The following is a 23,755-nucleotide window of genomic DNA, read 5'->3' as shown; positions in this document are numbered from 1 at the left end:
TGTTGCCTTCATCCAACCAGTTCAAGACAGAAACTTGGAAATTATCCTTGAATTCACACACTCCCTCTCTTCACACTCCCTCTACCCACTAAATATCTTTTGGACCCATTTCTTTTACTCCAACTCTGCTATCACTGTAGTCCAAACAACATTCATTATGGTTCATCTCCCACTAGTCTACCTACTCTACTTTAGTTCTCAACCAACCTATTCTTCATACTGTAGTATGAAGTATATACTATTAATGCAAATCCCACCCTGGCATTCGCCTACTTTAAATCCTTTAGTGCTCTCACATTGCCCTTAGGAAGAGTCCAAAAGCCTTAACAGGGACTACAAAATCATGCTTGATCTAGCCCCATCCAATCTCTTTGGTCTCATCTAATATCACTCTTCCTTTCCCCAAGTTTCTCCATATCGTACATTTTTCAGTTTCTCGTACCCACCATACTGCATCTCAGGATAGTCACACATGCTGCTCCCTCTCACTAGAAACCTCTCCCCACTAATCAACCTAATTTCACACGCTCCACACTCAGGACTAGTCTAGATACTGTAACTAGTGATCTCCAGAGTTGTGCAACCAACTACCCTGTCCCTGCTATTGTCTAACTACTTCTTAGCTACTTAGATTTCAGCTTAAACATCTCTTCCTTTAGGAAACCTTCTCTAGTCACCCAACCCAGGCTCAGTCTGATTCTCATCTTGAATTTTTGAGTTGCAACACTGAGCACATTTGTGACTCTTTGTTCAATGTTAGCCTGTAATTTTCACTCAGCCAAACTATTGATATTAATAGAGAACTGAACATAATGGTATACATAAGAATGTGATTAGACTTTTTCCTTCATATCATGTCAAATGCCTAAGTAATATTTAGCATATTTTCTTCCTATCCCTGATGATGATCTCAGCTTAGAAATAGCATGAAAGAGAAACATAAAATAATGTTAATTATCCTTTTTATTTCAATAATTTGGCTTTTTGTTGTTGTTTCACACAGCTACAAAGCCTGGAGAGTATAGGTGTGCAATTTTATATCCATTCCTCCATAAATCCACCCTCCAAGAAAACAAGCCATGGGAAGGCTATAACTATACAAAGTCTTAGAGCTCAGACAAAGGATCTCACTAATGGAGAATCAACTACTTAGGTGGCACACAGAGGCCCTTCTATAAAAGGAGATGCTTACAAATACTAGATTCTGTGACCTTTACTAGGTGTGCACCCTCCATACTACATGTGAATGGAGAAAGGCATAAGCTTAGAATTTTCCCCAGCAGTTTTGAGGAGTAAGGACTTGGGACTCCTCAAATGAGGAGCAATATTAGAGCTGTAATTCTGAAGTTCCTCTCTTTGTATAGAGAGAAAGCCAAGACACCATGCACTCTACAGACTCATCAAAGCAGCCATGGGGCTGCCCCTCCATTTTCTCAAGTCAAGAAAGTAACCCTCAAGCAGAGATTGGGCCATTCCCTAGTGAGAGGCAAGAGCAATTTTAATGGGACAAAATTGAAAAGAGAGAAAAGGGCATCCCAGATGATTCTGTTTTGCTGCAGTATTTTAGGTAGCCAGCAACTACCTCAGCAGTGATTACTAGAAGGATCCATGTGGAAAAATGGCCATTGAGGAGCGGAAGCCAGAGAGAAATCCCAAAGGAAGAAGCAATCCTGAACCTCTGGGTGCAACCTGGCCCAACCACCCTGCACATTGTCAGCAGCAGAGAGAGCTTTCTAAACTGGGGGAGAGATACTGGTCATGAATGCCTGCACTCCCTCCTCCCTAAGCTGCTTCATCAGGCAGTTTAGAAGAGTTTTGTTCAGTTGAAGGTAGAGTTTACCAGGACCTAAAGGAAACACACACTTTCTATTACCTTTCCTAGAGCAATAGATAGAAGACATATATGGAGAGACCTACAGTGGAATGAAAATGGGGCATAGCCATGTCCTGGATTCTTAAATATACTTATTTCTGGATTCAGTGTTTTAGTTTTCTTCTATAACATGCCATTGGTTAGAATCATGGGCTCTAGAGTCTTATACACCCCATATTCTGTTGAATAAAGACTCTACTTATTGACAGGGCTTCCTTGAACCTCACTCTCTTTGTAGGTACAATATGCATAATAATACCTGTATTACACTGTTGTGATGAAGATTGCAATGGTGAGATTAATTGAATTAGTGTATGTCCAGGACTCAAAGCCCTATTGACCCTCAAGCAAAGGAGGGTTTAATTCTGAATATGGCTGTAAAGAAGGATGCCTGAGGTTGCAGGTATAAAAATGTAGTCCAGAGTAGGACCAAGGTAAACCCAGAGGATGTAACGTGGCAGTTAAGAGGTTTCTAATCAGCAGCTCCCAAAGTTAGTTCCAAGGAACACTAGTTTTTTAGGAGAATACTAAGTGGTACTCATTTAAATAAAATTTCTGAATCAAATGCATTTGGGAAACATTGGATTCAATAATTTAAAAGCTTTCTTCTTGCAGGATTTCTGGGTGACTTTCACATGCTGATATTCCTGGTACTCCCCTACACCAAAATGAATTTGAGCATGGAGTCCCTTTCTCTTGGTACATTTCAAAGGACTATTGGAACATAGTCTGGGAAATGTCGGTTTAAATGAATGGGCCTCTGTGTTCTGTCTGACAATTCTTTCTTGAACTCAAAACCCAGAGCCACCTTATTCATTAGTCACTATAGGATGGTGCCCAGCATCCACAAGCTTTTCTAAGGCTTAAAGACGATTGAGAACTGGGGAAAAAATGCTTACTCCAAAGAAAAAAATGCAAAAAGAAAACTGCACAAAGCTGAAACATATATTTAAGTAACCATCTACAAAATGTAACAGCATGCCAACTAATCAACTGCTGTTCATGACATTTTATATATATAATTACATAAAAATACACATCATAGAATATGGGTGCATTTTAACATGCTTGCCATGCTATGATTTAGGAGCTCCATGAGAATGAGAACCTAGAGTTGAGAAAGGCCATACCTTTTGACCGTAGATATACACTCATATGATGTGTACACACACACACACACACACACACGCGCGCACACCCTGGAGCTGCAGAAGTTCCAACCAGTAAGGAACCAAAATTATGAACCAAGCCTCTGGCATAAGAGCAGCACCTGGATTCAGTTGCTGAACCTAATAATAGGGTACATAGAGGATTCTCCCTCCCCACCTTCCACAGCCCTCAGGGTCCACAGACAGTACAATTTGGATTCTTTGTCATGTAGCAAACCCTTTTTGGCAATAGTCACAGAATTCTGCAGCAAAGCACAGCTCATTCTCAGTAAATCTACCCCTCCCTGTGACAAGCCATTCACAGCACCTATTTCACAGCTGGTGGCTTCGCATTCACGGCTTCTGAAAGGAGCTCTGGATGGCAAAAGGCAACATTTTCAGGAGTGAGTGGGGGAAGGAGTTGGAGCAAGGCTGAAAGAAAACCTCAGCTTCTAAAGGTCGTCTAAAGAAATTTCACTTGTTCAAAAGGAAAAAGTAAGGATTACATAAAGGTAAGAATTCTCGGAGCCTTGCTCACTGTGAAAATACGGCCGCCCTTCACGTCCTCAGCTCCAGCCTGGGCTGCAATAAAGGGCCAGTGAGGGCAACGACAGGGATCTCTGGAGAATGACTCTGTGTCTGTGTCCCTTTCTGAATGGTCTGGAAAGACATCTGGACTCATGGAATAAGTCTAAGCTGTCAGTCCATTTCTCTACCTCTATGGAGAAAAAAAAAAAAAAAAGAAGCTATGATTCCAAAAGCCCAAAATATTAACCCTTCTTCAAATCAACCCATTTTTTAAGGTCTGATATGTATCATGTAAGGAAATACACTTTTCTCACTTCAAATGTTTGATTTTCACAGTATGACTCATTTCACATGGTTTCCCGTATACCAAAGTCTATTGTGAATGATTGAAACACTAAATGAAAAGAAGGGTAGACACACACACACACACACACACACACACACACACACACACCCCCCACAGAGGAAACGGCCTTTCCTTTGTTAATCTAACAAGAGAAACAGTAAAGACAATCAATTTCAACTATGTGAAGAAATTATTCTAAGTACAAATATGAAAAGCAATGAAAATATAATTAAAATTTGCTGCATGAAAAAAAAATTGCACCCTTCCACCGTTTTTTGAGCTAAATTTCCCTATCCTAGCAGCAGTGACTCCCCCAATGACATTTTTGCTCTTATGGATTTCACCACTTCCTCCAAAGCTGTAACTTTTCTCTCTCTTCCTCCCCTTCCTATTATTGTCACTAGGGAGAGCGGAATGACATGTTCAAGAAAATGCTTGCCTGGAGGCCAGAGTGTGTTTCCTTTGCACTTGGATTTCCATTTGTTCCACTAAATTTCCTTACAATTAATTTTTAAAAGGGCTGAGAGAGTTCATTTCCCAAACAGCTAACAAGAACTGTGTTCTGTAAAAGCAGACAAAATGGTACTGGGTGACCATTTTTGCTACCATGATCAAAATCTTACAGTATAAATTCTGACTCTGCATTCTGCACTTTACTACTCTGATATAGTAATGGGAATATGTTGATTCTCCCATGATACCCATCCAGAGCCAGGAACTGATGTCTCTTAATTGCACTTTAGCCTAAAGCATATTAAATGCAATTTGATTATAAAATACATCTGAATTGCCATAAAAAATTCTTGGCAAGATTTCCAAACATCAAGTAAAGAAATCTATAATCTCCTAGTCTAGCCCTTTTCCTGACTTGCCAGGTAACTTTGTATAAAGGCTGTTTCTTCCCCACACCTCTCTTTCTCAGCCAATAAACTAGTAATGATAGATTTGTCTAGCACTTAGGAATGGCTGAAAGACACTTCTTTACAATTTGACAGCATTTTGCAAATGACAAGCTGGCTTTAGGCTAAATATGTCAGAATGATGCTTCAGCATGGGTTGTTGGGGTGGACTTTTAAATATTTCTATTTCACAAATTCATTGGCATCACTGATCAGCCCTACTCATTATAGCTCGGTTTTAACACCATGCGTATGCTACCTTGGGTTCAGTGTTATGAGCCCAAGCCTTGCCCCACGACTTCATTGCACTCTCACAATGCTGACACCATTTCCGGCAAAGAGAGCAAAAGAAATAAATGCACACTGATGGATGGATTTGTCACTGGAAGTGGTAAGCCCTGACCCTCTCACTGAAGGGGTCTGCACATCTCAGACATGCTCAGCGTGACAGCCTGCCCCACCCTTTGGGTATTGCAAACCAGTCCCTGCATCCAACTGAATGCAAAACCCCTTCTTCACAAAGGTGTCTGGGGACAGGAGCATGAAGTAGCAGATGCACAGGTTTGTCCTGATGTCTGCCTCCCACACTCCCCTGGAAGATCTCCAAGCAGGAGGATGGGCACAAAAAGTGACATAAATAGATTAAGTTATTCAGCCTTGATCTGCCTAGAGACAACTGGAAAAAAAAAATCCTAGGTAGAAAAATGAATGAAAGGTTTCTTTTTCTCTAGTAATGAAGAGGAATGCTCACTACCACCTTGAAATAGAATCCTCTTTTTAAACTAAGAAGCCCAAAGTACCTCAAGTGTATTATCTGACATATCCTCTCAACTGCCTTGAACAATTTGAGTACAGATATTGATCTTCACTTAGGACTGGGGCTGATCAGGTAAGAAACTTGCCTGCAACCTATTTCCCTATCAGGCAATAATAGAATAGTACATAGAATGGTATATGGTGCAAAACTTCCAAATATGCAGGACCACACTAATCTGCAAGCTCAAGGGCTAAGTTATAGGTGACTGCCCTAGACCACTAACACAGAAGCATCCTGACAACATGAAACAAAGGCTGATCGAACATAGCCAGCATTCACAACTTTTTGTTTTTTTTTTAATTTTAAAGGAAACAGATCCTCATTGTTGGTTGGTCCGAGCGCCCTCATGTGTCTCAATAGAGTAATGTCATTTTAGGTCTCCCCAAGAGCTATTTCAAAGGACAGATTCCATGACACACAAATCCTCTTCCTATTTGCTTCAGAAGCCTCATGTGAAACTTTGCAGATTTTCAGGCTGCTCTAGAATGATGAATTTGTCCTCTCTGATATAAAGTGACATTGGAACTTATACGTGAAGGTATGAGAAGCAGATGTTAACAGGAGTAGAGGCTAATTTCAACTTGCCTGTTCTGGTTTAAGCATGTCAGGTCATCCTGCCTATTTCTTTTTCCTGTACCCTGCTCCCCGCACCCTGAGGGGCAGGGCTGTCAGCATGTACACTCTCTCTATCACTGCTCTGGTCACACAACTAAAGAACCCAGAGTTGTTTCTGTAATAAGCAAATCTCAGGAGATTTTTCTACCATCCACTTTAAGACTATGGGAGAGCCATTCTTCTCTTTGGATCCCCAGATCCTCCTGTGGGAAGGGAGGAGAGCAGTTCTTTGCTCACAGTTAAGAAGTTTCTGCAGTAATGCCTGGCATAGAGCAGATAGGCACCCAGTAAATGTTAATTGAATCCAAATCTACAAACTCTATTCCAACCCACTTGCTGTATTGTATTTCCAGAAAACAGATATTCTTCTTCAAATACAACATGCATGCTTTAAGAACTAGCTTGGGAATTCATGGAGCACAGGCAAAGGTCAACCATCTCTGCATTTCCCACAACACCTGACCTAGAACCAGGCACACAGTCACCTTCCATCAACAAAGGAGAGAAGTGGGGAGTTTGCCCTCTTAATATATTTTCTCACCTTCTTTCTTTAGTAGAGTTTACAGCAATCAAAGACTTGCAAATGGCACAGATTTTCTCATGAATTGAGGACTGTCCACACAGATAATCTGGTGCCTTTATAGAAGAGTAAATAAAAATGTTTTCCCCTCATCTTCCTCATTTTCCTTCTTCTTCTTCTTTGTCTTGAGGTTAGGAAGGCATGAATCAACAGCCCAAAGTCCAATCAAAAAAAACACAGGCTCAGAATTCCCAAAGAAAAATGGTCCAACTTTGGTCACTATGCCAAAACAACCTTGGTGGGTCTTGCATTCTGTTAGCCAAACACGTGCGCACACACACACACACACACACACACACACGAACATTTACCAAGAAAACATGCTCTGTTCTTGGGCTCCTCTCACCAAAAGGCAAAGAGCTGTTCACTGCTTAGCTTTAAGCTAGCCAAATCCAACAAAGCCCCAGAGACTTTTGGCTTAATCTTCTCACTGAACTCATGCCAGCCTTGCACGGGCACAGCCAGGGCATCATCACCCAGTCTTAGGTGTTGGCAGCTTCTCCCACCAACTTCTTAGCACTTTCCCTGCTCAGGGCAATGGCAAAGTATACCCTCCCCTCCCACCCACTGCACTTGGGCGCACTTGGGCGCACATTGCAGTCAAGTCCTTTTTTTAGGTAATTCTGCTGCTCAACAGTATGCCAGAAAGCACCTGCCTAACAGAGACACTAGATAGTCCTGTCAACTAAAAGTCATAACTAAAATATAAGGAGGGAAAAGTCCTCATGTGTATTATCTCCATTACCACTAAACTGGGAGAAAGGTTTTTCCCAAGACAATCCTTAGGTTAATTAATAATTTCCAGTTCATTTAAAACATCTCTCATATTTGTCTCCCTTCCTTTCCTGCCACAACCATTGTAGGCCAGAATCTCATCAACAAAATTCTGTTATTAACAAGTCTTAAAACTTCTGTTCTTTTCTTCCTCCAAACCATCATAAGTATGATGAAATAATCTTGCCTAAACACTTATTTCCACCCATCATTTAACAATTCCTACTCAAGAGCCCGAATAACTTCCTGTTCCTTACAGGATAAAACTCAGACTGTGAAGAGCGCTAAGCAAACTCCTCCATATTCTCTCAGACCCCCAAGAGAAGTTACAAAGAAACCAGACATCACCACCAGGGCCCCCAAGACCCTTTTATCTTGCTATATCACAGTTCCAGACAGTTGCACAATGATTGAGGGCACTTGGATATCCACATACCATGACATTCTAGGCAGAAATTTTACACTGGGCATTTCATGTAGACTTCAGCTCCTTCCCCTAAGGTTCTCAAATGCATTGGCATGCATACTAGTTACATTCAAATCAATGGGCTGACCACTATTGTATTTCTTCAAAGGACAGTTTACCTGTTATTGGGAAACACTTGGCACACCTAGCAATGAACTTCCAGGCACAAGATAGTAAGTGAGCAAAATAAGAAGGAATAATAAATCAACATCAGAAAAAAAAAACACAAACACATCTTGATGCTTGTAGGACATCGTGTTCTGGTGAGAGCAACGGAGAGTTGGAAAAACAAAGTAGATGGCTGGTGGTAAATCATCACCCTACCAAGCCAAGCAGACCAACTCAGGGAAAGCCCAAGAGAAACAAATGGCACTGCCTTAGATGATGAATAATGGCCAAGGAGGTAGAGAATGCTAAAGAACAGAAGTCAAGACCCTTGGGAGGAATACGCATCTGTCCTCTTACTCCCTTTCTGGAAGAGAGCACTGAGAAATTCTATTGCCTTGCCTGGCATCTACTACTTCTAACTAAAGCAATACAAATAACCTTGAAGCTTTCCACAATACAAGCTTTGTTTTTTAAAAATGAAATAGCATAGCTTTTCCTAAATTCTTAAAAAGCAACAACAGCAGTTTACATCTTTCCCCACTGATCTTTCCCTCAAGAGCTTTCCCCCCATCTCCAGCCAGTGCTGCCTGAGCCTGTGTCTTACTATATGAGGTCCTGACATCCCGAACCTTTAGGAAGTATGACTGTGGCTGGTCATCTTCCCAACTCACCTGTAAGTACCTTCAGGACAAGAATAATGAACTTACCTTCTTCTCTATGTCTTCTCATTTATCCTCCCACATTGTCCCCTAGCACTCAGCCCAGAAGGTTCTAAAGAAATACCAATACTGCCTGTTAATATAAATTAAAATGTATTCTTGTTATATAATGTAAATCTGAAAATTCCCTTCCTTTCTTTTAGATATTTCCTGTATCCTTTATTCCTTCTATTCCTTTTTCTAGCAAACTTTCATACTTACCAAACAACCCTATTTTGTGAGGGATAGGCTATCATCACCCAGAACCGTCCGCCGCCCCCCCCCCCCCGCCCCCCACCACCCTATCACCCCACAACATACACAGAGCTGACACTTGGTTTAGTTTGTGGTTAACAGGGGTGGCACTCTTTCTTCAACTTTTGTTTGAAGGTTTTAGGATGCAAAGTAAAGCCACTGGCCCCATTTCTCTGCAAGATTATCCTGCCCAAATCTGTATGAATCACCAGTGGCCATTTCTCATCTACTTCCCCAAAATTATTAAAGGTTTTATTGTATAATACCTTCACCACCTTCCTACCCTAAGAAGTCCTCTTCTGGCTCATTAACCTCCTTCACATGTTGGGGACAAACCTCAGCATTGCCTACAACTCACTTATAAGAAAATATAAGTTTCTATACCAGGCATGATTTGTGATTGCAGTGCAATTTTCCTATTAAGTCTAGAGCTTATCATTCTTCTCTCCTACACATTCTGGTCTTTCTCTACCCCTTCTTTCCATTCTGCCCCCTTTTTTCCTACCCCTCTCCCCAAGAAATGAACTGGTTTCCATTCAGCAGGTTTAGTCTTGCTTTGGCCAGCTTATTGTTTCAAAGTGGTTATAAAGTTGCTGGGCTTGAACACAGATTATTAATTTTCAGGCATTCATGATGTCTCCCTGTTGAGTGTGGTATGTGCAGGTGTGCACATGTGTACCTGGGGTAACTAACACTCCTGGACTATGCAATTTTGCTGGTGACTGAAAAGATGAAGTCAAAGTTGATTTGATTATTGAAGAATCACATTATTTTAGAGGTATACAGAATGTCAGAGTCCAACTTTGGCGTTTTACAGATGGGAAAACGAGGTGGGGCAAGGTAAAAAGACTTAGCCAGAGTCATAGGTTGATCAGTAGGGGGACTAAGGCTTCAGCTCTGAGCTGTCATATCTCAGTCCCCCAAGGCTTTTCCACTCACATAAATTCCCCCTCAAGGGCTCAAATGTGTGAGTGAGAACCCAGGATGTCCACATACAAACAAAAATGCATCATAGACATGTGAACATGTACACACAGAGAAGATAGGGAGTTATTGCATTTGTAGCCTACAAAACAGAACCGAGAATGTGCTGTTAAAATTAGAGTAAAACTGCTGTAAGCAGGTTAAGTTCTCATCTAAAGAGATCACATTTCCCCACCATACCCCTGCTATCCATTTCCCCCAAGTGGCTCATTAGAAAAAAAGATGGCTAGATTTCAAAAAGCAACTTGGAGAGATTTCTATAGGATTTTTCTTTAGTTCAATCAATACAGAGTTATCTCTTACTTCCACGAAAATAGCTTTTTCACACATCTCTGCACACACAGTCACACACACATATAAAACATTGGCAGCAGGTACTTTTAATTTGCTGGAAAATATTTCTAAGAAGTCAAAAAGCTCCAGCTGAATTGCATGCCCTCTTATTGGCTCACCAGACCAGTTGAGGGACCTGATTGGTCCTTGATCCTGAGGACCGATAAGAACGGCTATAAAATCCCTGGGTGCAGCTCTTGGGCCCCCAGTTTGCAAAAGCCAGAGGTGCAAGAAGCAGCGACTGCAGCAGCAGCAGCAGCAGCGGCGGTGGCAGCAGCAGCAGCAGCGGCGGCAGCAGCAGCAGCAGCGGAGGCACCGGTGGCAGCAGCAGCATCACCAGCAACAACAACAAAAAAAAATCCTCATCAAATCCTCACCTAAGCTTTCAGTGTATCCAGATCCACATCTTCACTCAAGCCAGGAGAGGGAAAGAGGAAAGGGGGGCAGGAAAAAAAAAAAACCCAACAACTTAGCGGAAACTTCTCAGAGAATGCTCCAAAACTCAGCAGTGCTTCTGGTGCTGGTGATCAGTGCTTCTGCAACCCATGAGGCGGAGCAGAATGACTCTGTGAGCCCCAGGAAATCCCGAGTGGCGGCTCAAAACTCAGGTAAGCAGCAAACCCAAGAGCGGTTTCTCCCCCAAAGAGCTGTCCTCATTTGCCTCTCCCTTTTGCAACTGTGTCTGTGACGGCTGATCTTGATAATAAATGTGCTTCATGCCTGATGGCAATAAACTGCCAGTGTAATCCAATAGCCTTAGGCAGTGGAGCTCCTTTGTTTAATAAATTGCATGCAACTAAACGAAGAAGCTGGACGCTCTGCTGAGGGTATTTCATTGCATAAGCCTAGCCTGATTGCCTGAAATCTGGCACGTACCCTCTTGGAGGGGGAGGGGTGAGAGGGGAGGAAAGGCTTGAATGTTGGCATGCTTCAAAGCGCTCTCTATACTTTCCAGAAGCTGATCTAAGGTAAGACCTGGCTTGTTTGATGCTGTCCCTCTTCCTTTCCTCTTAAGACTCTACCTCTTCACTTCTTGACTTCTCTACCTAAGAGAATACACAGAAAAGCTCCCTCTTCAGACTGATTTTCAGAACCATAGCCCTCAAGTCTGACAAATCCAGGGCGGATTCAGAGAAAACCCTATACATCCCACCCCCAACCCTGCTGCCTGTCTCCCTCCTGGCTCTGTAGGGCTCCATTCAGTCGTCCCTGCAGCCCGTAGCCAGAGAGCCCCTAGAAAAAAAAAATTGTGAAACGTAGCAGCTGTTTCTCCAAGGGTAAGGTCTCACTTTCGTCTTGACTCTTGGAGCAGTTAATTGTGCATTATCTTGGCTTCTGAAGGAAAAGAATCATTAGGAAGCCTGCATTGACACCTCTGCCTCTTGACTTCTCTGGCTCCACTTGTTCCCCTTCCAATACTGCCCTCTGTCCTCCAACTGTCAGCAAAGACCGGATCACAGGTGTCAAAATGCTGCAGATGATGATCCCCTTGGAAGAGCACAGGTCCCTGCCGAGAGGAGGGCTTTTGCTTCACTTCCTTTTGTACTTAGTTGCTATAGAGATGCAGTGATTCACAATTCGAGCTTGCCTAAAACAATAGCAGCCCTAATGCATATTAAAACTGCTTAAAGCAAAGTTATAATTTAAACCCGTGGAAATATATAATTAGGGAAATGACTTGTAACATCCTAGAGGCTGCGGGTGGTGGGAGGGGGTGGGGAAGACTAACTGAACCATGCTTTTGATCTCAGAGGAGAATCCTATGGCATGAAGGCTGCAGATCATTCCTTGCCTAGCTGCCTGCCAGAACACCCCCCTTCTGTGGGAGAAAAATTACTTTTATGGGAGATCTTATCCAGAATGTAGAAAGCCTCATGCAAGTTTTTTGCGGTTTTCTTCCAGTCTTGCATAGGGAGGCCTTGGCCTGGTTATTCCACACCTGTGTTTCTTCTTTCTTTCTTTCTTTCTTTCTTTCTTTTTTAAAAGGCTTTTAATATGAAAGAGATTATGCATACCTCTAAGCACTGTCCTAGTGGAGGGTTGGGGTGAAACATGAACGGATCAGATTTCTTTTTGCCAATATGACGGTAAGTTAAAAGCCTGAAATCAGAAGGGTCTCCAAGTGGACTCCTGGCACAGTCTTCTCTGCCATTTAGACTAAAATCCCATGCTTTTTACTCGGGAGTGCATTTTTCCAAAGCTAGATGGATTCCCTGGCCCTTTTACCTCTTAAACCTGACCACTAGCCACTGTCTCCTTCCTTCCCATGCTTTCAAGTGCTAAGCAATGACCTTTGATTCTATGGAATGGCTTAAAGGCACTGTGCATTTCCAGACTTGAGCCTCACTTCTCCAGACACCAAAATTGTAGGTAATGGTGAAACAGGGAGCGTGTGTCTGAAACAGAGAACTCCCTCCCTGTCCATCATGTACTCCAGCAATCATAAACAAAAGGAGCCTGTCTATCCTCTCTTTCTCAATCAAATGGGTCTATCAATTGCCCCTCATGACAGATTCCTAGGATAAGTTCTTCTGACCTCATGTCCTTGAAATTCACCTCTGCACCCACTTGATCCCACCCAGCCATTCCTCACTGTTTGACCCAGAATGGATGGATTTGTCTCTTTCAGCTGAAGTGGTTCGTTGCCTCAACAGTGCTCTACAGGTCGGCTGCGGGGCTTTTGCATGCCTGGAAAACTCCACCTGTGACACAGATGGGATGTATGACATCTGTAAATCCTTCTTGTACAGCGCTGCTAAATTTGACACTCAGGTAATAAAACCTTGACCCCTGCTCCCACTGGCTGCTTGTCTTTAACAGTGTGTTAGACCATGGTTCTTAGGAACCAGTCTTGTAGGGAACCAGCCCTGCTTCTCAGCTTCCCCACTCTAAATTCCCATCTCAGCATGTGTATGCACAAGTGTGTGCATGCACACACACACACACACACACACACAGAGGCACTCATCTGGCCAGGAAATAGGTTCTGTATAAGACACGCCCCACTCACTCTAATGCATGATTCTAAGGAGCTAGTAGAGGCTGTCTTATAAGGCCAGGGGTAATAAGCCAAAAAGATTTTCCTCTGTAAGAGGACATAAAAACGTGCATAGAGCAAGGAAGTTCTCTCTGCATGACCTAGCATACTAGCTTTTGATCTGAATTCTCAAAGTCTCAATCTCAAGAATATGAAGTCAGATTACGACTATTTTTAAGCTGCAGAATGGTTGATCACGGTTCATCTTTTTTTTCTGTAATTTCATTTCGGTAGAGCTTAATTCTCAAGGGAATCCAGGGAGATGGGGAGAGGGCTTTTTTTTTTTTCAATCCTTAGCCGAGACATGCAATCTTCTCATTGCAAGGATATGCAGATGGCCATGATACGTTGCCCAGATGAGCCCCCTTAAATTCCTCCATGTATATGCCCATCCTCTTTGTCAGGTCAAGCTAAAGACCTCCCTCTTGTCCTTCCTCCATGGCAGGGAAAAGCATTCGTCAAAGAGAGCTTAAAATGCATCGCCAACGGGGTCACCTCCAAGGTCTTCCTCGCCATTCGGAGGTGCTCCACTTTCCAAAGGATGATTGCTGAGGTGCAGGAAGAGTGCTACAGCAAGCTGAATGTGTGCAGCATCGCCAAGCGGAACCCTGAAGCCATCACTGAGGTCGTCCAGCTGCCCAATCACTTCTCCAACAGGTACAAACTGAGTCTACTTTTTCACAATCAGGGGACTGGGAGCAGGTGGCTGGCTGGCAGAGCCAGACTGGGAGGGAGGGTTAAATTGCCACAGTCATGCTCTTATTTTAGCTTGCAGTCTTCCCAGCTTTTGCAGGAAAAAAATATGTTTGTGATTGGTTGTGACAGTTTAAGCAGCTTGGGCTTTTTTTTCCCTACTGTTATAGGAAAAGTCTTTTCATGCAGCTCATAGAAAGCCAGCCTCATCTGCAGCATCCCTGGGTGCTTTCATTGACCATTTTTTGCCATAAGCCTGAAGGGAATGGTGAAGTTTCTGGAAACAAGCTTTTAAGACATCAGATTTGGCTGAAACCATGACCGTGCAACAACACAATTGGCCATGATTAAAAAAAAAAAAAAAAAAAAAAGCCCTCTGGTTAAATGTCATAATGCAGATTTTAAGTCTCCATCTATTTCAAATCAGTCCCAAACACAGTCAGAGATTTCACTGGGTAGCCCAGAGCAAGCCATCTCACTTCCCTGGGGCTCAGATTTCCTTTGTAAAAAGCAAAATGGCTGGACTGGACCATTTTCAGGTTTCCTTCCAGGCCTTATGTTATCCCATTCCTCTAGCCCAAGATTTCCTAGAATGAGTGTGTTTTATGGCTGTCCAGATCCCATTCTCATCTTAGTATTCAAACACCACCCAAGGCCACTGAGCTAGTACAGTAACATCTGGGCATTGTACTTTTCAGTGTTTTTACCAGCCAGGAGTGAATTCCTGTTACATGAGACAGCTGGCATCCTCAGTTCATGTGCGTGGCCTGGAAAGGTTCCCAGCAAGAACTAAGAGATGCCAATGGGGTTGGCGTGGAGGTCTGGCAGGGGCAGTGCAGACCGGTCAAGTTTAGCCCCCTGTGATATCCCTCAGCCTAAAAACTTGACTCCCAGCCTTGAATTTCTATGATTCTTTGACTCTCCACTCAAATCTGCACATATCCACAATGATCAGTGCTTTGCATGTTACTCTGACCACCTGAGAGTTATCACAGGCTTATCTGATTAATTTCCTAGCCAGGTGCCACCACCCTTCTTAAGACAGTGGCAACAGCCAAGTCCCTCTGGGGCTTACAAGTGATTTAGTCATGTACATACATGCAACAAAAAAGTAGTTCCTCCTTAGGGAAAGGCTAAGGTGCCTAACACAAACGCTGTGTAAAATTTCTTTTTCACCCTTAACTACAGGTGAGTGCCCTTCAGAACCACAAATCAATTTGTAAAAATCACTTCTCTAGTCCTTGGAAGTGACTTTATCATGGGGTTCTAAATGGTTTCCTCAGAACAGAAAAATCCAACCATTTTCTCAAGTGGGCTGTCTCTATATAACTCTTGGTTTTAAATTTCCCCTAGGAAGATTCTTATTGCACAGAGGAAACAGGTGCAGAGGGTGGGGAGGGGAGATCTGATTAATTATTGGAGACTTCCTTCACCATTAGGAAAAGAAATGAAGAATTCTTAGCCAGACAGGGGCTAAGGACAAAGTATGTGTTTGTGTGGTAGTTAGGGGTGGGGGGAGAGGTACATTAGCAAAGCCACTATTACAATTTAGATCCTTAAGGATTCTGTGACAAATCATGATCTATAATACGGCATATTTCCAATTTTGAGGCGATACTAATCTCCCTATTTCATCTGAAGTAGCATCTTCCATTAGAAAGGCAGAGAGGTCTTTAGGCAGAACTATATAGCTACTCGACTAGAGGTCCCAATTTATCTAAGAAGAGACTAGTAAATTTTTAACCAGGCTATTATTTCTTCTAATCAGTGCCTTATTTTCAACACCTTTAGAAAATGGTCACAAAGAAAGTCTTCTTATCTCCCTCTTTCATCTTAGGGACTCATTAGGAAAGGTCAATTGGAGAAAAAAAAAATGTGGCCAGCCCTTGAAAACCGGAATCTTCCATGCAACCTTTCTCCAAAAATTTCACTTTAACAGGCTATATTATTCCTGCTCAGGATTGTAGAAATGTCCGGTTCCATGCTGGGCTTGCTTTGCTCCATTGAAGCTGCTCACCTTCCTGAGACATCCTGCTTTCCCAGCCTCTATCCCACCATAGACACACGCTAAGTCAGTGCCAATTGGCACAGAATTGCAAGAGGAAGTAGTTACAGGTTCATTCCACCTTCCTGTGACTTATCTAGCATGAGATTTGGGGCTGGGAGAATCCAAAAGCCTGTGACTGGACCAGGAGCCAGAACAAGGGGATTTTCCATGACAGAAATGCACCTAGAGGGTAAAGAGGTAGCTGGAGTTTCCACCTGCCTGAATTTGCAGACTATGCTTTCAACCCTGTGGGAAGCAGGCAAAATTGATCAGGCCAGCAGGGCGGTGCGAGGCTTGGGAACCACTTAGACCAACCCAGATCCAGAGTGGGAAAACTGACAAAGCTTCCAACTCTCTAGGGCATGGATAGGGAACAGGAAACAGAAGAATAATATTGATCAAGGGAAACAAAGGACTATTTATAAACCCTCACACAGAACGTTCCTAGGCAGTATGTGTGTATTTGGGTAAGCATGGCTGAAACAGTAGCTATGGAGAATATCTGATCTTATTCTTTATCAAAAAAAAAAAGGTCAGGGATGGAATTTTCAAAGTGAGAAAAAAGAAACATAATTAAAAAGGTCCTTTCGGGCTGGGTGATCAGAACACTTAGTCCACCAAGTCTTTCCAACACATCTCCTCCATCCTCCATAAAGATAAAGAAAGGAATCTTCTTCTTCTTTTTTTTTTTTTTTTTTTTTTTTTTTGACAGAGTATCGCTCTGTTGCCCAGGCTGGAGTACAGTGGTGAGATCTCAGTTCACTGCAACCTCCATCTCCTGGGTTCAAGCAATTCTCCTGCCTCAGCCTCCAGAGTAGCTGGGATTACAAGCACTCACCACCACGCCCAGCTAATTTTTGTATTTTTAGTAGAGACAGGGTTTCATCATGTTGGCCGGGCTGGTCTTGAACTCCTGACCTCAGGTGATCCACCCATCTTGGCCTCCCAAAGTGCTGGGACTGCAGGCATGAGCCACCATGCCCAGCCAAGAAAGGAATCTTCTTAAGCAGTCCTAACTACCACTGCAAAGGAGGGGATGTAAGCAGAGCTGCTCTATTTTTTGTAAAATTGAGAAGAAAAATGTGTATTGAATCCCTAGAAACATAGAATGTCATAGTTGGAGATGACTGCTGAGGTTAACTAGACTAACTGCCTCATTTTACTGATTAAAGAATAAAGGCTCAGAGAGTGGAGTGACCTGCTGAAGGTCACACAGCTTGTGAATAACTAAGTTGGGCTTAGAACTCATGTGGCCTTGAGCCAAGCTATTTGATTTCTACTTCAAAAATGGCAGCCAGCAAAATCTGCAGGAAATAGCCACAACCCAAAAATAGAATACCAAGCACAATTGAATATATGTGCACCGTGGTAGTCCACAATTAAATTTGCGTCCTTTCTCTCCCAAAAGGATGGACACATCCTACCAATAGCTATAGGAACTATAAGACCATAGCACAAGAAGGTGCTCACTAAATAGGTGACGATTGCTAAGTCAACTCTTGCTGGAGACACAACCTCTTAAATAATCCATCTCACTTAGTGACACAGGAAAGGGCTATGTCATTGGCAAGCATGATCCCAGAGGTAAATGGCTATTCCAGCCCTTACTGGACAGGCACTGGTTAACCTATTGCTCATACTGAGAAACTGGTGACATCAAATAATCCTGACAAATTTTCCAGCCTTTGAAGAACTACTAATGGAGACATGGACTTTGTTTTATATTCTAAAGAGCTTTCTCAGCCTGCCCTTGCTGAGTTAACAAAAGCCCCATGAGGGAAATAGGGTAGATTCCAGTGGGGGTGGGTGGTTCTCACTAAGAGCCCTCAGGCTGGCAAGGGTCACTGTCAAGAAACACCAAGGTCAGGTGTCATATCTGAGCCAGCAGACAAAGCAACAGTAAAGGTAGAAAGGTAGAAACCCTCCAAAAAAGAGCAGGCACTCTGACAAAGTGGGGCCTGAAGGAAATGTATGGCCCTGAAGCTGCAAAGCTGGCTGCAGAAGCTTAATTACCTTAAGGGTACTAGACTTCTTTGTCCAGACAAGAGCTTTCAAGTCCTTCTAAGGAAGAACTAGCATTTCTTTTTATCCCTTTCTAGGGAAAGATTGTATTTTCCAGCCTATCTGGGGACTCATCTGGCATGAACAGCTCTTTCTAGAAATGGAAGGGTTAACTTCTAAGTTATAAAGTCCTTATTGGAGGGATGGGAGATCAGAAACCACCCACCAGGATCTAATCACCCTCTGAAATAGACACAGCCATCCAAAGACCCAGGTCCTAGCAGAGCCCAAGAGCCAGGTGATGCCTGGAGATCTATATGGGTGTGTAGATGTCAGAAGCTGCTGGTGCAAAGTTGTTTATTCTATGTTTCTCCAAAACTGGTTTTCTCCTCATTTCCCCATCCAAAGGAGATCTCCTTTGACTCATGTGCTTTGTAATTCCAAAGAGTTGGACAATGTTCCTCTGTGCCAGAGAGTCCCAGTTTTGACCACAGCTGGATATAATTCTCCCTGGAGGGAAGGGTTTCACCAGGCCTGTGTCAGCAACCAAGACACTGCACTTGCCTCTCAGTCCCCAGCTTCCTTCTGCTGTGCCACAGAAGGGTGACCATATCACCTCATTACCCACGTTCCATGCTATTTACCACACATCTTTGAAATAACCTCTCTGGGGGATTAAGTTATTCTAGAAAGATGTTTGATCCTGTGCACTGTTTGGTGAGTTAAAAATAAACAGGTTTCTTTTCACGGAAGACCTGGTGGCCCCAGAGATCCTTGGGCTCCTCTGAGAAAAAGTTCTCTCCATGTAAATACTGCAGGTCACTGTCACTGAGTCTCTTATTAGCGAACACAGAGGTAATGGGTTTTGACAACTCAACTGCGACTACAAAATGGACCAAATGCATCCCAGTCTAAATTGGATAATACCTGAACTGTCTTCCCAAATAACAGGACAAGTCATTGATATGCCCTAAATATTAGACAGTTTAATCCTTTCTGAGCCACAAAGCTTAGCTACATTGCTTGGGGGTATTTAAAGAATTCGCTGCAAAGATGAAGGTAACTGATACCAAACACAAGGGGTTTTGGTAAAATTTACTAAAACTACAGATAAGTTTTCTTCTGGGAATCACTACTTATTGGAGAGAATTATATTCTTAAAACTCCATTTCCTTAGTGGCTGCAAAATAAATCAACAAATGTGCAGTGATCAGGCAATGTAGCACGATGGCACCGGGCCATAAGGAATACAAAGAAGGACACAAATCCTGCCTTCAGTAAGCTTACAGTCTAGTCAGCGAAAGAAAGCCATCACAAAACCATCAAATGCTGGCCTATGTGATGGCAAACAAAGATCTATAAATATCCAAAAAGGGAAGAGGTTAGCAAACTCTGGTATAGTAGAAGAAGGATTCATGAATTATAGTAGCATGAACCCTTAAAAACCACCAATATTTCCATTTAAATAGACTTCTTGCCTAGGATTTGGCCTTCTGACTACAATATACCTTTGAAGGAGGGCTGAAGATGGAGTCAGTCAATATCTTTTATCAGGGCTGTCCAAGTATGTGATAAGGGCATTAGATTTTGTAGAAAAATGCATGGCACACAGAAGAGGGGGCCTTAGACAGAAGTTTCATCAGAAGATGCACAGATCTGCATACACACACACACACACACACCTGTGCCCACACACCACCAAAAAAAGGAAAATTACAAAAAAGCATCAAAATAATTACACATGCATGTACAATGGCTACTAATCTCAGTGATGAGCATTGGACTCACTTCATTCTAATTTGCTTCACCTCATCCACCTTAGTTTCTTCTCTACAAAATGAGAGTTGAACTAGTCACCAAATGGTCTCTGTGGTCCCAGCTAGCTCTGTAATTCTGTTTCTAAAAATGTCAGTCACCACAGTCAGCCTGCTCTTCAAAGTGTGATCTAAATCTCCTCAACTCTAAACATGAAGATCTGTCTTGCATTGTGTGGTAAACCCTAGGAGCAGATGCATTGAAACTAGGGTGACATGGCACAAGGGTTAGAGAGCAAAAGCCACCTTCAGCTGATGAACTATTGATGTTTGCATGGTCAGGCCATTAGGGACTCGTGTTGGCTAGAGCCCGGGTGAAAGCCTGGGTCTCGCCGGGCTCTCACTGGGTGACCACCATATGCACTCTCTTTCTTGATGCAGATACTATAACAGACTTGTCCGAAGCCTGCTGGAATGTGATGAAGACACAGTCAGCACAATCAGAGACAGCCTGATGGAGAAAATTGGGCCTAACATGGCCAGCCTCTTCCACATCCTGCAGACAGACCACTGTGCCCAAACACACCCACGAGCTGACTTCAACAGGAGACGCACCAATGAGCCGCAGAAGCTGAAAGTCCTCCTCAGGAACCTCCGAGGTGAGGAGGACTCTCCCTCCCACATCAAACGCACATCCCATGAGAGTGCATAACCAGGGAGAGGTTATTCACAACCTCACCAAACTAGTATCATTTTAGGGGTGTTGACACACCAGTTTTGAGTGTACTGTGCCTGGTTTGATTTTTTTAAAGTAGTTCCTATTTTCTATCCCCCTTAAAGAAAATTGCATGAAACTAGGCTTCTGTAATCAATATCCCAACATTCTGCAATGGCAGCATTCCCACCAACAAAATCCATGTGACCATTCTGCCTCTCCTCAGGAGAAAGTACCCTCTTTTACCAACTTCCTCTGCCATGTTTTTCCCCTGCTCCCCTGAGACCACCCCCAAACACAAAACATTCATGTAACTCTCCAGCCATTGTAATTTGAAGATGTGGATCCCTTTAGAACGGTTGCCCCAGTAGAGTTAGCTGATAAGGAAACTTTATTTAAATGCATGTCTTAAATGCTCATAAAGATGTTAAATGGAATTCGTGTTATGAATCTGTGCTGGCCATGGACGAATATGAATGTCACATTTGAATTCTTGATCTCTAATGAGCTAGTGTCTTATGGTCTTGATCCTCCAATGTCTAATTTTCTTTCCGACACATTTACCAAATTGCTTGAGCCTGGCTGTCCAACCAGACTTTGAGCCTGCATCTTCTTGCATCTAATGAAAAACAAAAAGCTAACATCTTTACGTACTGTAACTGCTCAGAGCTTTAAAAGTATCTTTAACAATTGTCTTAAAACCAGAGAATCTTAAGGTCTAACTGTGGAATATAAATAGCTGAAAACTAATGTACTGTACATAAATTCCAGAGGACTCTGCTTAAACAAAGCAGTATATAATAACTTTATTGCATATAGATTTAGTTTTGTAACTTAGCTTTATTTTTCTTTTCCTGGGAATGGAATAACTATCTCACTTCCAGATATCCACATAAATGCTCCTTGTGGCCTTTTTTATAACTAAGGGGGTAGAAGTAGTTTTAATTCAACATCAAAACTTAAGATGGGCCTGTATGAGACAGGAAAAACCAACAGGTTTATCTGAAGGACCCCAGGTAAGATGTTAATCTCCCAGCCCACCTCAACCCAGAGGCTACTCTTGACTTAGACCTATACTGAAAGATCTCTGTCACATCCAACTGGAAATTCCAGGAACCAAAAAGAGCATCCCTATGGGCTTGGACCACTTACAGTGTGATAAGGCCTACTATACATTAGGAAGTGGCAGTTCTTTACTCGTCCCCTTTCATCGGTGCCTGGTACTCTGGCAAATGATGATGGGGTGGGAGACTTTCCATTAAATCAATCAGGAATGAGTCAATCAGCCTTTAGGTCTTTAGTCCGGGGGACTTGGGGCTGAGAGAGTATAAATAACCCTGGGCTGTCCAGCCTTAATAGACTTCTCTTACATTTTCGTCCTGTAGCACGCTGCCTGCCAAAGTAGTCCTGGCAGCTGGACCATCTCTGTAGGATCGTAAAAAAATAGAAAAAAAGAAAAAAAAAAGAAAGAAAGAGGGAAAAAGAGCTGGTGGTTTGATCATTTCTGCCATGATGTTTACAAGATGGCGACCACCAAAGTCAAACGACTAACCTATCTATGAACAACAGTAGTTTCTCAGGGTCACTGTCCTTGAACCCAACAGTCCCTTATGAGCGTCACTGCCCACCAAAGGTCAATGTCAAGAGAGGAAGAGAGGGAGGAGGGGTAGGACTGCAGGGGCCACTCCAAACTCGCTTAGGTAGAAACTATTGGTGCTTGACTCTCACTAGGCTAAACTCAAGATTTGACCAAATCGAGTGATAGGGATCCTGGTGGGAGGAGAGAGGGCACATCTCCAGAAAAATGAAAAGCAATACAACTTTACCATAAAGCCTTTAAAACCAGTAACGTGCTGCTCAAGGACCAAGAGCAATTGCAGCAGACCCAGCAGCAGCAGCAGCAGCACAAACATTGCTGCCTTTGTCCCCACACAGCCTCTAAGCGTGCTGACATCAGATTGTTAAGGGCATTTTTATACTCAGAACTGTCCCATCCCCAGGTCCCCAAACTTATGGACACTGCCTTAGCCTCTTGGAAATCAGGTAGACCATATTCTAAGTTAGACTCTTCCCCTCCCTCCCACACTTCCCACCCCCAGGCAAGGCTGACTTCTCTGAATCAGAAAAGCTATTAAAGTTTGTGTGTTGTGTCCATTTTGCAAACCCAACTAAGCCAGGACCCCAATGCGACAAGTAGTTCATGAGTATTCCTAGCAAATTTCTCTCTTTCTTCAGTTCAGTAGATTTCCTTTTTTCTTTTCTTTTTTTTTTTTTTTTTTTTTGGCTGTGACCTCTTCAAACCGTGGTACCCCCCCTTTTCTCCCCACGATGATATCTATATATGTATCTACAATACATATATCTACACATACAGAAAGAAGCAGTTCTCACAATGTTGCTAGTTTTTTGCTTCTCTTTCCCCCACCCTACTCCCTCCAATTCCCCCTTAAACTTCCAAAGCTTCGTCTTGTGTTTGCTGCAGAGTGATTCGGGGGCTGACCTAGACCAGTTTGCATGATTCTTCTCTTGTGATTTGGTTGCACTTTAGACATTTTTGTGCCATTATATTTGCATTATGTATTTATAATTTAAATGATATTTAGGTTTTTGGCTGAGTACTGGAATAAACAGTGAGCATATCTGGTATATGTCATTATTTATTGTTAAATTACATTTTTAAGCTCCATGTGCATATAAAGGTTATGAAACATATCATGGTAATGACAGATGCAAGTTATTTTATTTGCTTATTTTTATAATTAAAGATGCCATAGCATAATATGAAGCCTTTGGTGAATTCCTTCTAAGATAAAAATAATAATAAAGTGTTACGTTTTATTGGTTTCCCCCCATGTCTTTCATTGTTATTCTTGAAAAACTTATTGAATGAGAATTTCTGAACATGAACCACAGACTGGTTGGTTTCTTTAAAGTCACTAATTGTCAATATGTAAATTTGACATATTGTTTAAGTCAACATTTCCTAAGTTTTTTAAAAAACATTGAGTGACTCCCATTATTCTCACTGATGGTATCCCAAACTCCTTACAAAGTTGGAAGAAGCTTTAAGGTCTACAGGCTGCT

At 42.5% G+C, this 23,755-nt stretch overlaps 1 protein-coding gene across 1 annotated transcript; it reads left to right on the top strand.

The window, feature by feature from the left end:
* STC1 (stanniocalcin 1) lies at nucleotides 10,632-23,509 on the top strand. The gene is made up of 4 exons (NM_003155.3): nucleotides 10,632-11,032; nucleotides 13,054-13,196; nucleotides 13,907-14,118; nucleotides 20,398-23,509. Exons 1-4 carry the CDS (start codon nucleotides 10,915-10,917, stop codon nucleotides 20,666-20,668), a joined length of 744 nt encoding a protein of 247 aa, NP_003146.1. The 5' UTR covers nucleotides 10,632-10,914; the 3' UTR covers nucleotides 20,669-23,509.

Source organism: Homo sapiens, chromosome 8, assembly GCF_000001405.40.
Source record: "Homo sapiens chromosome 8, GRCh38.p14 Primary Assembly".
In the NCBI taxonomy this organism is placed as follows: domain Eukaryota; kingdom Metazoa; phylum Chordata; class Mammalia; order Primates; family Hominidae; genus Homo; species Homo sapiens.
The sequence above is the reverse complement of the archived record's forward strand: the minus strand, read 5'-3'. Positions and strand labels throughout refer to the sequence as shown.

What these genes read in the sequence shown, in the direction of transcription:
- STC1 (NM_003155.3), top strand. Translation starts at nt 10,915, where the DNA reads ATGCTCCAAAACTCAGCAGTGCTTCTGGTGCTGGTGATCAGTGCTTCT. An exon ending in AGTGGCGGCTCAAAACTCAG is followed by an intron (nt 11,033 to 13,053) that starts GTAAGCAGCAAA and finishes TGTCTCTTTCAG; the next exon opens with CTGAAGTGGTTCGTTGCCTC. An exon ending in CCCAATCACTTCTCCAACAG is followed by an intron (nt 14,119 to 20,397) that starts GTACAAACTGAG and finishes TTCTTGATGCAG; the next exon opens with ATACTATAACAGACTTGTCC.